At 39.3% G+C, this 15,246-nt stretch overlaps 1 long non-coding RNA gene across 1 annotated transcript; it reads right to left on the minus strand.

The window, feature by feature from the left end:
- Positions 1-13,723: 13,723 nt before the first annotated feature.
- Positions 13,724-14,369, minus strand: LOC124902070 (uncharacterized). The gene is made up of 2 exons (XR_007061186.1): positions 14,111-14,369; positions 13,724-13,991 (listed from the first exon to the last, which is right to left on the minus strand). It is a non-coding gene; the product is annotated as an uncharacterized LOC124902070 (long non-coding RNA).
- Between the last annotated feature and the right edge of the window lie 877 nt (positions 14,370-15,246).

Genomic DNA, 15,246 nt, shown 5'->3' on the forward strand with positions numbered 1-15,246 from the left:
ATACACATACACATACATGCACACGTACCTGCACGTACCCACACACTCACACGAAGGTGGCAATCAGTAAGGAGAAGACATAGTCAGATCCTACCCCAGGGAAGTCTTTCTGCCTCTTTCTTTCTGCTCTGCTTCTATTATATATTTCTTGGAACATCCACCTCTACTCTTTTGCTGTCTCTGTCTGTTCACTTAACATCTTACCAAGGTTACCAGCTGATGTCACTGAAAAGAAATGTACGCAGTGTAACCCCCTCCTTGAGCAGAGATCATGATTCAGTAGGGAACACAAAGTGGGGAAAAAAGTCATAGTGCAATATAATTGCTTTACTAGATGTAAGGACGTGATGCAGACCACCAGATAGCGGATCCTCAACTCAGAGTGAAACAGAACATTTTAACAATGGGATGGGATTGGGGTGAAGCTCCAGGTAGAAGGAGATGACTGTGGGTTCCATCACTGTTGTTTCCAAAATGTGTTCCGGGTGTAAGCTGTCATATGTGTGGCTGGACATGTTTAATGCAAGGCTGCTTCATGACCTGGCATAAACAATTATCTTAATTGCAGGACTGTTTAGGATGGCCAAGAAAGAGGTGCTCATATAAATCTGCTTGCTTGCTTGCTTTTCTTTCTCATTTTTCCTTTCTTATGTTCTCCATTTTGACCCATCTATTCCACTTCGTCAAGACCAAAATTCCATCTCCAGGCTTTCCTCCCATGTCCTTCCTTAAAACTAACTTCTTTTTTCCTTTCTTTTCTTTTCTTTCTCTCCCTCTCTTTCTTTTCTCTTTCTCTCTGTTTCTTTCTGTCTTTCTCCATATGTTTTCAGAGTCATAAATCATGTCAGGTGCTGAAAATACAGAGGCGAAGAAAAGCTGTCCTTGCCCTTGACATGTTAAATATCTAGCAAGGAAGGCTTCCAAGATCTTAAATCAGAGGCAAGTATCTTAACTTAGAGACAAATAATGCTGAGTATTATAAAATGACCAAGAAACTTGCCTTTGATGTCAGAAGACCTGAAGGTTTCTGTACAAGTAGGTGGGGGAAGGGAGGATCTAAAGAGGTTTCTGAAAGGCATGGGAATAAGATTTTAGAAGAAACTTGTGGAAAGGAAGCATCCCAGGCTCAGGAGGTAAGTTAAGTCCTAGACTTTTGAAAGCAGAGATTTATATGGCGAATGGCAACTGAAACATTCTCCAAAGCACAATGGTCTTACTAGGGAGCCACCTGTGAAGTGCACAATGCCCAGCTGTTTCTAGTTCCTGACATCAGTCACGGACACAGTCTGGTGCTGGGAGGGGCTCATCCACAGGATAGGCCGTGACACATTAACCCAGAAACTGCTTGGTTTTAGGTGAAATAAGCCAGACCTTAATCATTCCATTTGATAATGGCTTCCTAATACTAGAAGTTCTCTTTTAAAACTGTGACCCATTTCACAATTTACAAATAATTTTAAAGTGTTACCCCCTCCCTCTCCTTGGGGGATATGTAGTGTTATACCTGCTTTACAGATGAGGAATGCATAGCCCAGCAACCATACATCCAAGAGGGCCATGTGGAAACACAATCCAGAAGTTGGCAGAAGGGTCCAGGACAGCTGGTGAAATGGTGGTGCACCCTGATAGTTTGGGCATGGTTGAAGTTAGCAATTTAAAAGATGGTGCATTGTGGAGAGGAGCAGCTGTCAAAATTCAAAGGAAGATGATCTACCTTTAAAGAACAGTGATCCCTCGGCTCTAGATCAGAATAAAAGCCCAGGTTTTAGGTTTACTTCATATGGGAGAGAAATCCTAAGGGAAAATGAACTAAAATATCAGCAAGGTAGTCCTCAACCTTAGTTGTAATGCCCTGAAGAGCATGAAGGAAGAAAATGGAAGAATGCCCTCTTAAGACAATTTTAAACATAGCCATTTTTTAGCATTGCTCCAAGACAAAAGCAGAAGGGCCATTGAAATAAATCTCTAGGTTTTTATACTCTCATGATTATCCAGGGTGGGACAAGAAAGCCAGTTAACAGCATGTTGAAAGGTCACTGCAAAAATACAGAGTCGACTCAGTTTTTCTTTCTTATGTTTACCATTTTGTCTCATTTATTTCCCTTTGTTATGTCAAGGCCAAAATTCTAACTGCAAGCTTTCTTCTCAACCTGCTCCATCTCCCATGTTCCTTCTTAAGCAACCTGCTTATTTTCTTTCTGCTAGGTAATGTATAAAGAATTGCCTCTTACCAATGTGAGTCCTTCATGTTAAACTCACAGTTAACTATTGGATCTCAGGCATCAAAGGGGCATTAAAAGTTTACCTCGCATAGTCACTCACCCAGTGATTGGCATGTGTCTATACCATCCTTGACAGATTGTCTGATAAAACTATACTTGGACAGCTACAGTGATAGGAAACACATTTCTAACTAAGTCTTCGTGTTCCCTCACTGGGCAGCTATTTATTACTAGAAATCTCGGCCTCCTGAATCCCATAGAGCAAGTCTGTCTTTACTTTGGCTTGAAGATCTTTCAAATAAATGATGTAATGCTATCTCTCTCCAACTCTGGAACAAAGTATTAAAAATCTCCCTCAGATTGAACATTCCCACTTCTTCCAACTGTTCTTATATGACATGTTTTAGGTTGTTCTCCACCTCACATTATATGAGTCACTCTATCCAAAATGGATCTCAGTTAAAAAGCTCAATAAGCCAAGTGGGTTCTGACATCACATTAACAGAATATAACTGCTAGTTCTTTATCATTTTTGCCTTTATAAGGTAATTTTTTAAAATATTGAACCTGGGTAAAAGTCAGTGTATCTATAGTAAACATATATTCTTTCCTTTCCCGACAACCATTCTCATTGTGAGGCAATGGGCCCATTTGTTATTTGGAGATGCCTGCTCCCCAATTCTCATTCCACGTTGTTTGAGTCAGGTCTGCTCCAGTCCCACAGAAGGAGCAGGGACATGCCTACACCAGTCAGCAGGTCACAGTAATTGGCTCGACAGTGGACCCTTGACTTCAGTCAGTGAGATCAGAGTGGACTGAATAACTTCAACTGAGTGTATTTCAGGTGGCCATTTTTATGCTTGATTTAAGCTTAGAAAAGATGCAGCCTAGATGCCATATTGAGCCAATTGGTGACTCTGAGACCTATTGGAAAATGGAGTCAGCATAGAGGAAGCAGAGCGAAGATACAGAGAGAAGATAAACCACAACCTGGTGGTATTGCTGAAGCATTGGAGCAAGCATATTTGAAGTCGGATGGATTCCTAGGTACTTGAGTTGTATACAGCAGTACATTCCCTTTTGTAGTCAAGTCAATTTCAATCCGTTTTTTAAAAAAATTTACACCAAAAGAATACTAATTAATAAAAGATAATAGTACAGTCAAGAACTTAAGAAAGAATCTTAAAGATTCTTTGTGTTGGTTCTGATGCAAGTTTATAGGCAATTTTCTGGGCCTGTTCAGCCATCAATAAAATGAATACCTTCATGTCCATTATCAGAGGAAATCCACACGGCTTCTCCAAAGATGCTTTCAAGGACACTTCTAAAACATTAATATAGACATATGAATGACAGAAATTAATCCTGTTGCTCCTTGTTGATTTTGAAGATGCACATGGAGGCAACAGTGGGCTGACTCTCAAGACCTGGACAATAAAACTGCTGTACCCTTAAAGCATACCGGGGAAGCCAACACATAATATGCTCATAGAAAATTTATGTTAAATGAACAAATGAATGACTAATTTATCCTAGTTATACCATTTTTCCAAACCTAGATCTTTGGAACTAATACATATTCAAGGACAGAAACATGAATAAGATATGGTCTCACCCACAGCCATCATGAGAGAGAGTTTCATGTGGTACTTACCTGACGGTTCCGATGGTAACCACATGGATGGTCTTAAGGAGGGGCAGTGCCCTGGCAAAGAGGTCATTGAGAAGACCAAAACACAGGTATCCACGATGCACAAAAACCACACCTAGGATGCACCGTTTTTCCAAAGCCCACTTTCGCTTCCCAACCCTGTCCTACATCCAATACCATACAAGACTCAGACAAGCAATGGAGTCCCTTAAGAAGGTGGAGGGCTCCTCACAAGTCCTATAAAAGCATCATCTACCTGCTGTTGCAAAGCTGCTGGCCTAGTGTGAGGCAGAGCAAGTCTCCCTGGAAAATTGCATCAGCTTACTCTGACTTAGAGGACTTAATGCATTTTTACAAATGGAAATAATAAACCCTCAGGAAATATTATGAAAATGAACCTGTAAACACTGAAATTGAATCTAATCATGAACAAGTCATAGCTTAGACTAATGAAGAATAAATTATGCTGAAATACGAACAAAATTTGTCCTTCAGTCTGATGGGGAAAAGGTGTCAGTAGGAGGCAAAACCCACACATGACTTTGGACTACAAGATATAATTTGATGAGCCACTGCAAAACTCATCTCTAAACAGACTTATTTGGCTGTAAGTATAGGTCAACCACTAGAGCTAGAAAATAATCAAACCATATAACCTTTGCAGGAGCTACATTTCTTGCTCAAAACCTTTCTCATTTTTTTTCTCTCTTATTCACTCTTTTCTGCTCAGGAAGCATGTAGGTTTGCTAATTCCTTGGGATACATTTCATCCAGACTTTATGATCTATAGGTCACCATTTTTTCCCCAGTCATATTGCTGATAACAATTTTGAATTTTCAAACCAGGTCTTTTTTTTTTTTTTAACCATTTGATGAGCTTTTATGAATGGATCCACCCATATAAACATCATAGCATTCAGAAAATAGAATATTTTCATCACTCCATAAAGCTCCTTTACAATGCTTTGCTGAAAATTTCATACCCCTCTTCCCTGCCTTCCAGACAAACACTGAATGCATTACTTTTTCACTTTCTTTTTTTTGTTTATTATTATTATTATTATACTTTAAGTTTTAGGGTACATGTGCACAATGTGCAGGTTAGTTACATATGTATACATGTGCCATGCTGGTGTGCTGCACCCACTAACTCGTCATCTAGCATTAGGTATATCTCCCAGTGCTATCCCTCCCCCCTCCCCCCAACCCACAACAGTCCCCAGAGTGTGATGTTTCCCTTCCTGTGTCCATGTGTTCTCATTGTTCAATTCCCACCTAGGAGTGAGAATATGCGGTGTTTGGTTTTTTGTTCTTGCGATAGTTTACTGAGAATGATGATTTCCAATTTCATCCATGTCCCTACAAAGGACATGAACTCATCATTTTTATGGCTGCATAGTATTCCATGGTGTATATGTGCCACATTTTCTTAATCCAGTCTATCATTGTTGGACATTTGGGTTGGTTCCAAGTCTTTGCTATTGTGAATAATGCCGCAATAAACATACGTGTGCATGTGTCTTTATAGCAGCATGATTTATAGTCCTTTGGGTATATACCCAGTAATGGGATGGCTGGGTCAAATGGTATTTCTAGTTCTAGATCCCTGAGGAATCACCACACTGACTTCCATAGTGGTTGAACTAGTTTACAGTCCCACCAACAGTGTAAAAGTGTTCCTATTTCTCCACATCCTCTCCAGCACCTGTTGTTTCCTGACTTTTTAATGATTGCCATTCTAACTGGTGTGAGATGGTATCTCATTGTGGTTTTGATTTGCGTTTCTTTGATGGCCAGCGATGGTGAGCATTTTTTCATGTGTTTTTTGGCTGCATAAATGTCTTCTTTTGAGAAGTGTCTGTTCATGTCCTTTGCCCACTTTTTGATGGGGTTGTTTGTTTTTTTCTTGTAAATTTGTTTGAATTCATTGTAGATTCTGGATATTAGCCCTTTGTCAGATGAGTAGGTTGCGAAAATTTTCTCCCATTTTGTAGGTTGCCTGTTCACTCTGATGGTAGTTTCTTTTGCTGTGCAGAAGCTCTTTAGTTTAATTAGATCCCATTTGTCAATTTTGGCTTTTGTTGCCATTGCTTTTGGTGTTTTAGACATGAAGTCCTTGCCCATGCCTATGTCCTGAATGGTAATGCCTAGGTTTTCTTCTAGGGTTTTTATGGTTTTAGGTCAAACGTTTAAGTCTTTAATCCATCTTGAATTGATTTTTGTATAAGGTGTAAGGAAGGGATCCAGTTTCAGCTTTCTACATATGGCTAGCCAGTTTTCCCAGCACCATTTATTAAATCGGGAATCCTTTCCCCATTGCTTGTTTTTCTCAGGTTTGTCAAAGACCAGATAGTTGTAGATATGCAGCATTATTTCTGAGGGCTCTGTTCTGTTCCATTGATCTATATCTCTGTTTTGGTACCAGTACCATGCTGTTTTGGTTACTGTAGCCTTGTAGTATAGTTTGAAGTCAGGTAGCATGATGCCTCCAGCTTTGTTCTTTTAGCTCAGGATTGACTTGGCGATGCGGGCTCTTTTTTGGGGCCATATGAACTTTAAGGTAGTTTTTTCCAATTCTGTGAAGAAAGGCATTGGTAGCTTAATGGGGATGGCATTGAATCTGTAAATTACCTTGGGCAGTATGGCCATTTTCATGATATTGATTCTTCCTACCCATGAGCATGGAATGTTCTTCCATTTGTTTGTATCCTCTTTTATTTCCTTGAGCAGTGGTTTGTAGTTCTCCTTGAAGATCAAACCAGGTCTTTATTACTTTCTCATTACCACAACATCTTTTATTTCTACTTGAATTGCAGATTCCATTTTGTGACATCATCTCTTCGTCTAGTTGTTGGCATTATCTGAAATACATTGTCTTTTGTATCTTTGGCTGACCAAATTGTTAACTTTTAAACTTTATTCTGAAGAATTTGCTTCATTTATACATTTCCCCCATCTGCATATTTAAGCTGAATGCTATCCATGCTGTCTACATTCGTCTAGTCTTTCACACTGAGAATTCAAGTTTCCAAAGAAAATTTGTCCATACAGAGAGATACCTCATGTCATATATCCCTACCTTTAACCACACAACCATAGCCACACAGAGTATGACCTGTCTCCATTATATTGTTCATATCCTTGGTCCTGAACCACTCACCCCCACCCATCCTGAGCCATACCAATTAATTTTTGTGTAGATTTGTCCCTATGATCTTTCTGGTTTTTTCCTTCTCTTAATCCAGGCTATGGTAGCCAATCTCCAAGATGTCCTCCAGTGATTCTCACCTCCTGATTTTCATGCTCTTGAGTAAGGCTATAAGAAAAGAGATATTACAAAAATGACGGTGTGACTTTCCAGGATAGGTCACGTATTCGTTCGTTCTCACACTGCTATGAATAGCCGAGACTGGGTAATTTATAAAGGAAAGAGGTTTAATTGACTTATAGTTCTGCATGGCAGAGGAGGGCTCAGGAAACTTGCAATCATGGCAGAAGGCAAAGAAGATGCAGGCACCTTCTTCACAGGACGGCAGGACAGAGTGAGTACAAGCAGGGCAAATGCCTGATGCTTATAAAACCATCAGCTCCCCTGAGACTCACTCACTATCACAAGAGTAGCATGGGGGAAACCACCCCATGATCCAGTTACCTCTACCTGGTCCAGCCTCTGACGTGAGGATCATGGGGATTACAATCCAATATGAGATTTTGGGTGAGGAAACAGCCAAACCATATCAGGTCAGAAAAGTCAAAGTGGCTTTTGAGTTGCCCTCTAGGATCACTCAGTCTGGGAGATGCCAGCTGCCATGTTGTGAGGACACTCAAGCAGCCCTGTGGTGAGATCCATATGGCAAGGAACTGAAGCCTCCTGCCAACAACCAGAAATAGCTTGTCAAACATGTGAGTGAGCCATCTTGGAAGTGGACCTGCTAGTCCCAGGCAAGCCTTCAAATGACTACAGTTCCAGCCAAAATTTTGACTGCAGTTTTACAAGTGATCCTGAGCCAGAAACACCCAGGCAAGCTGCTCATGGATTCCTGACCCGTAAAGTTAAGTAAAATAAGAAATGTTTATTGTTGTTTTTAGCCACTAAGTTTTGAGATAGTTACACAATAACAGATAGCAAATGCATGGAAACACTTTAGATTATTTAGGTTCAACTTTAGCTTTCTTATTCAAACTAAAAATGCAAAGCAAACAAATAACAACATAGGCACTTTGTCTGTTTGTCAGTAAATGTTGTATAACTACTGTGTGTCAGATGTCACTTAAATGAGATACATTATGTATGCATAACTACTTATTAATCAAATTATATAGATAAAATTATACCTGCAATATAAAGTTTTAATGAGGATTTAATAAGATGATACATGGAGAAAGCTTATTAATACCTGGCACATAGTTGGCACTCAATTATTATTTTCTATTATTATTATATGATCAATATTATGGTGGCCAGACAATTAAGTAGCTTAAGCAAGGTCCCAGTAGGTAGGTAGATAGGTAGGTAGTTAGGAAATCAGGACTCAAACCCAGGTCTATTTGATTCTACTATACATGCTCTTAACAATTAATTGGCTACAATTATATGATCTAAGCCAAGCACTGTATAGAACATTTGGGAGGGAAAAATAACATTCTCCTTCCTCAAGGTCTTAAAGTCAAGGTGGCTTCTATTTTATAAGTGTTACCAATTCTAAAAAGCAGCAGGATGGAAATCTATGCAACATGGATGACACAAGGAAGAAAATGTCCAGTCAACTGCTTTGGCTTGGTTTTACCTCTGCCACTTTTGATCAAAGTTCTTTCAAACCTTGTCTTCCCCACCTCACGTCCCACACCAAGATACTTCATCTCTCATATGTCTCTCCTGCATCTTGACATCTCACAAATTGAAATGCTTGCTCCCATTTCCAGAAACCAGCATGGTTCTCAGGGACAATGGTTTCCAAGGGGCCAGCACATGTAAGTCTATGGTGGCAGGCCTTTGACACAAATCTTGGTGTATTTGGCCTTCTGTCTTGGTCTCAGCATCAAATGAATGAGGGAGGAGATGAGCACATCAATAGCAAGAAAATGGTAGATAGGCAGCCTTCACCATTCTTTAAGGACTGACAAGTATGACGTGGACAAAGTTTCAGCATAGGAAAGGACTCTCCTTGTAAAGTTCTCTCCTCCTCAAGTTCTCCTTTGTCTTAAAACCATATTGTTGCTCAGCTAAATATACTTCTGCCATAAACAAAAGAAGGAAACCTTCTTATTCCTGAAAGGTGGGTAGAACCCAGAAATGGAGAATTTGACTTAGAAGTAAGTTTTCATTTTCAATACCTGTAGAATTCCATAGACACAGCATGCTGAGCCTACGGGTTTTTGTTTCCACCAGTGGCAGACCCTTTCCTACTAAGCCCTTGGTGACCAATGACAATTGCAAACAAGAACATTCCTAAAACACCACTTTCTATTGCAGACTGCTTTGCCCCCAGCTCTAGCCCAGCTGGTAATTGGACTCACAACTATAAAATGGATGTGACAGCAGGACAAGTTGAGGTTTGGGCTTCAGTGAGCTCTACCACTATCCAAACTTTAATTACAGACTTGTCATTGTACCTCAGCCTGTAAAATATGCCTGTAGAGCAAATCAGTGTTCATAGTCCAAAGGACATAGAAAAGGATAGTGGTTAAAATGGGGAAAGTATCCTCTCTCGCCTTGTAATCTCAAACAATTGGATCCATAGAACATTGAGAGTCAATAAATATGGAACTGCATGAAATCATTTTTATAGGCATTTTATGAGTATAATAACAAGGAGAAGGATTGCCCGTGACTGAGATGCAGTTTATGGAAATGAAAGTTTGGTTGGTTCTCTCTATATGCCCTCCTTTTGCATCTTTCACAGAAAAATGATTTAGCTATTTCTAGTTATATGTAAATATATACATATATTTATTTTGAGCCTTCTGAGGACAGTCACAATGAATTTGAAATCTTGGTTTTTTACTGATTTTATACTAATTAATGTGTGTTTTATTGCAATCCATTTATACTTAATGATGCATCCAGTAGCACTACAATTCGGAAGATGTAAATGATGTGATATTTTAATGGGTTTGTTTTTTTTTTCCTAACCTTGTATATGTCATGGGGTAATAAAAAGGAAATTATCAGCCTTGGTTCATTTTCTAGGTTAGGAAAGGGTATTTTGCAACTTTCTTAATTGAAAGTTTGGTTTCTCCATGGTCCTACTTAATTCCTTAAAGCCTATTCAGACAGCCAGAGCAGCGTTTGAGCAAGTCATTACCACATGTGAATGCATTAGCTTGGAAATTGATTAATCCATCATGTGAATGTTTTCAACCACTCCAAGGCAAACAACAAAATTCTAATGAAAATCCATTGTACGTGGTGAGGGACAACACCATTGACAAGGACCTTCAATCAATCCAAAGGCCTCCGTTAACCTTTCTTGGAGTTGGATTTGTTGTGCTATGTAGTTTAACAAGATTAAAGATGTGACTGGGTCAAATTAAGCAGGATATTTCTTGTGTATCAGGGCAAAATTGGTCTGCAATGTTAGGTGGCTGGAAGTAAGGGAGCAAGCATTCAATGCAGCATCCAAAAACATTGCTTTCTTTGATGGATGCAAAAACAAATACTTCCCCCCGCCTCTTTTCCCTTCCTCCTTTCTTCCCTCCCTCCTTTCTTCCATTGTTCTCTCCTTTTCAGTAACCAGGTCTATTAATGCTTTCCTAAATTAAATTTTGTATGGTTTATTAGAAAGAACACCTACACATATAAATCCTTTAGTGCCAATTTATAAGAGGGAATTTATTATTCTAAATTATTATCTAAATTTTATTGATAGAGTTTAAGGGACTTGGCCAAGATTGCAAACAACTAAAGGCTAAAGTGAAACTTAAATCTAATTTTACAACACATAATAATCACCTTAATTATGTATTATTATCCCCATCTTATAACAAAGGACATAGAGGGAGTAAAAAAAAAAAAATCCTACCCAAGATTATTCAACTACTAAGCACAAAACTAATATCTGAATCCCAACTCTGTCTGAGTGTAAAGAAGGAATGATTGTGCACTATGGCTTCTGAACAACATGTAATAAATAAAAGCTTATGGAATCCTGTGTAATGTTCAGGATGGAGAATAAGATCCTATTCTAGGACCAGGGTTCTGAGGCCCTGAATTTCTTTTTTTTCTTTTTTTTTTATTTGAGACAGGGTCTCACTCTGTTACCCAGGCTGGAGTGCAGTGGCACAATCTTAGCTCACTGCAACCTACACCCTACACCTCCAGGTCTTAAGCGATCCGCCTACCTCAGCCTCTCGAGTAGCTGGGACCGTAGGTTCACGCCACCATGCCCAGCTAATTTTTGTATTTTTTTGTAGAGACAGGGTTTAGCCATGTTGCCCAGGCTGGTCTCAAACTCCTGAGCCCAAGCAATCTGCCTGTCTGGGCCTCCCAAAGTGCTGAGATTACAGGCATGAGCCACTGTGCTCGGCCTCTTTGTTATTTTTTTTTTTTATGAACTTAAAATACCCTACCAATTTCACATTTAATTTGAATTACAGCATGCAAGTTTATGCAATATAATGGCAGAAAAACAAATAAATATAAATTATGGGTCAGGTAGGACCCATCCTACCTCATAATTGAGTGTATCATTAAGGCAGAGTAGTACTGGCTCGTAAACAGATAAGCAGGACATAGGATGGAGTAAAAAGTACAGAATTAAACCAAAATATGTATTAGAATTTTGCATTTGATAAAAATGAAATTATAAATCAGTGGAGAAAAAGTGATTATTTAGTAATCTATGTTAAGAAAAGTTGTAGTGATTTGGAGTAGGATATCTTGAACCTTACACCAAAATAAATTTCTAAAAAGCATACAATTACTAGAGAAAAATATATATACATATAAAATCACAATGTGTATAAGGCCTAAGTATGGCATAAAATCCAGATTCTCTAAGTTTGATGAATTTAGCAACACAAAAACAAGCCTGCGCAGGGGAAAAAATATATAAAGAATGCAAAAATAGAGAAATGAAAAATCTGTAACATCAAAAGGAGAAACAAAAGGTCAATTTCCTTAATATATAAAAATCATGGTAAATCGATAAGGAAAAAAGCCCTCTACTGTAAAACATAGGCAAAGAATGTAAAATTACTGTTCAAATAATAAAAATATAAATGGCTCTTAAAACATTGAAAAATACATTATTAATTCTGCCTATAAAAAAACGCAACTGAAAGTATAGTGGAATATCATTTTCCAGGTACCAGATAGGCAAAGATTCAATAGGTCGATAACATACTGTGTCGAAGAGAAAACTGATTAATAAACATATTTCTATCTTGCTGTAGGAATGTAAATTGATAGAATCTCAAGGGAAGGGAGGTTGACCCTTGTCCATTCTTCTATCCATCCTCCCCTTACACATTCTGTGTCGTCTTTTGTGTACTGTTCTGTGTCCTAAGAGGCTAATCTCTCTAGACTTCTTTGCCTGTTGGTTTCTGGTTGGCTTCAGCAAATGGGAGGTTTTAGAGGGGTTGAAGTATCTGACTGACTCCTTGAAGGTTGCACATAATAGTCAATTCAGTACTATCATATATTGGTAGAGTTTAACTTTCATTTGGAGGAATGACTGGTCACTAGGGAGGGTTGACTTGGAAGCTTCACCTGCCTTCAGCAAACCAGCTCTCATCCCAAATCTGCATAGTCCCTTCAGCCCAAGGAAGTCCCATAGCAAAGAAATACACTCAAACGCCTTTGTAGAAAACTTACTGGCCATGAATTATTCTCTCAAAATGCCTGTTTCTTCAGTGATATTCCAAAATATTTTCCAAACTTAGAAGGCATTCTCACTGATAGTTTTTTGTGTGCTGTTTGGGTTTTTTAAGTATACTATTCTGTCAAACTTTTAATACCCTAGTAGCCCTCTACTACCGCACTAATATTTAATACCCACCTAGACTGTCACACCTTGTGCCTGTATTAATCTCGCCCTGAGGATGCTATTGGCATCCCAGGAAGCCATCATAACTCTGTCTGAGGAAGCCTTCACAGAAGAAGTGGCTACAAAACTAGGTTCTGAAAGACGTCAAAATTTGCCAGGAGAAGTCGGAGGAGAAATAGTCTTCAAAGAAGACTGTGTGGGAGAGCATGATAAGAAAGAAAAAAAAGCAGAATATGTTCAAAGATGACAAGGAATTCTGTGTGGTTGTAACTCAGAATAGAATGCAGAACAGAGGCCGGGTGCGGTGGCTCACACCTGTAATCCCAGCACTTTGGGAGACCGAGGCAGGCGGATCACGAGGTCAGGAGATCGAGACCATCCTGGCTAACATGGTGAAACCCCGTCTCTACTAAAAATACAAAAAAAAAAATTAGCCGGGTGTGGTGGTGGGCGCCTGTTGTCCCAGCTACTTGGGAGGCTGAGGCAGGAGAATGGCGTGAACCCAGGAGGCAGAGCTTGCAGTGAGCTGAGATCGCGCCACTGCACTCCACCCTGGGCAACAGAGCGAGACTCCGTCTCAAAAAAATAAATAAATAAATAAATAAAAAATGCGGAACAGAGAGATGTGGTCAGATGGGTGAGAGGAGGTTGGGTTGAGAAAGGCCTTGTAAAACCATATAAAGGAGATAAGCATCTCCCCAAGTATCTGCACTGAATGTGACTGCTTCAAGATGCTCCGTAGATACATTGTTCCTTGTCAAAATCTTGGAAAGCGGGGCGTCTTTTAACTCTCTTAGAGATCTTCGAAGCACAGTAGCATAGTGTAAGCTCTGAGAATTCCTGCAATGTAAAACCTTCTCAGCTTTTTTTAAATTCAGGATTCCAAGTTTTTATTTTTAGGGGGTCAAACTAGAAAGTCAGAAGTTTGCAGAGTATACCAGCCAGGGCTGGTACTTCAGCAACATGGTACTAGAGGCAGAACCTTAAGAAAAATGTTCAGTATTTATATAAGCAAAGTTCATAGCTTTCTCAAAACCATAACAATGATAACTGGGACTCTGACATAAGAAAATGAATTTTTTAGTGCCTATTTTGTGGAACTGGAAGCATCCGAAAGAAGGTCCAGAGAACCTGAAAAAGAGAAATGAAAATTAGATTATAATAAAATACATCTTTTATCTATTTCTAAATGAGGAGGGTTTTATATATAATTATAGTTAATTATACAAAACTGAGTTTAAGATAACTACCTAGTAAACTGCTTATTGATTTCCATTTGCAATGCTTCTTCCATTTGTTGCTTATTTTCTTCCACAGTAGGCCAGGCTGGGTTAGGGGGTAGTGGATAGGCTAAGGGGTGTCAGTTGAGGACCCAGAAATTAGAGGAGGGGGTCTTCGGTTTTTTTTCTTCCTTTTTTTCTTATTTCTTTTCTTTCCTACCCCTGCAAGTCCCTCCAACACAGGCCATCTGTCCCTTCTTCCCTAGAGTTAAAAGCAACCTACGTCAGATTGAAATGGATAAAAAGATAAATCACCACCCCTCTGCTGAACACAGAAAGCTAAAAGGGAGAAAGAAATTGCATTTGCCTTTGCACTCAATATATCAGAGTGATTTATGTCAGAGCCACTCTGCCTGCTTTCATACATATTCGGTTTTAAATAAAATCAATCTCTCCAAACCTGTAATCGCTTTCTTTGTAAGACTCCAAAAAAAAAAAAAAAAAAAAAAAAAAGAGTTGCTAAAATATGGTTCCATTAGAGGCCAAGTTGGTTTATTGCCTTACAAAATCATTCATTCTAATGAGATGTAAGGTTAAGAGACATTCCTACGAACATATTAAATGGCTAATAACCATTCAGGAGCTGGTTAAAGCTCACATTAAAAACAGGCAGAGAAGGGTTAATTGGGCAGACTTTTAGACAGTAGGAGGAGAGGAGCCCCAGAAGGAGATGGGGTTGGAGCCAACTCTAGCACAGTGGGAGCAACTGCTGAGACCAGGAAGGATTTCCTTTATGCTGAGAGTATCATGAGGATCAATCGGGGGTCAGCTCTACCTCCTTCTGGGACCTCCCTAAGGGAGAAAGAAGGGCAGCCACCATTTCTGAATGTTGACTGTAATAATGGCACACACTTGTATAGTAGTTACTCTCTGCCTGACACTGTTCTCTATCCCTAATGACCCTGTGAAGTTAGTGCTGTCATTTCCCCCAATTTACAGAAGAGGAGACTGAGACATCAAGAGCTTAAGTAATTGACCAGTGTCCTCACATGGCTGTTAGACAGCAGATCTAGAACTCAGTCCCAGGTCATCTAGTGCAGGATTACCCATGCTTAGCCACTCGACTCTCTTGCCTCCTTTCTAATCTATTAGTTTCTGCATATAAG

This window comes from Homo sapiens, chromosome 8 (genome assembly GCF_000001405.40).
Source record: "Homo sapiens chromosome 8, GRCh38.p14 Primary Assembly".
Taxonomy (NCBI): Eukaryota; Metazoa; Chordata; class Mammalia; order Primates; family Hominidae; genus Homo; species Homo sapiens.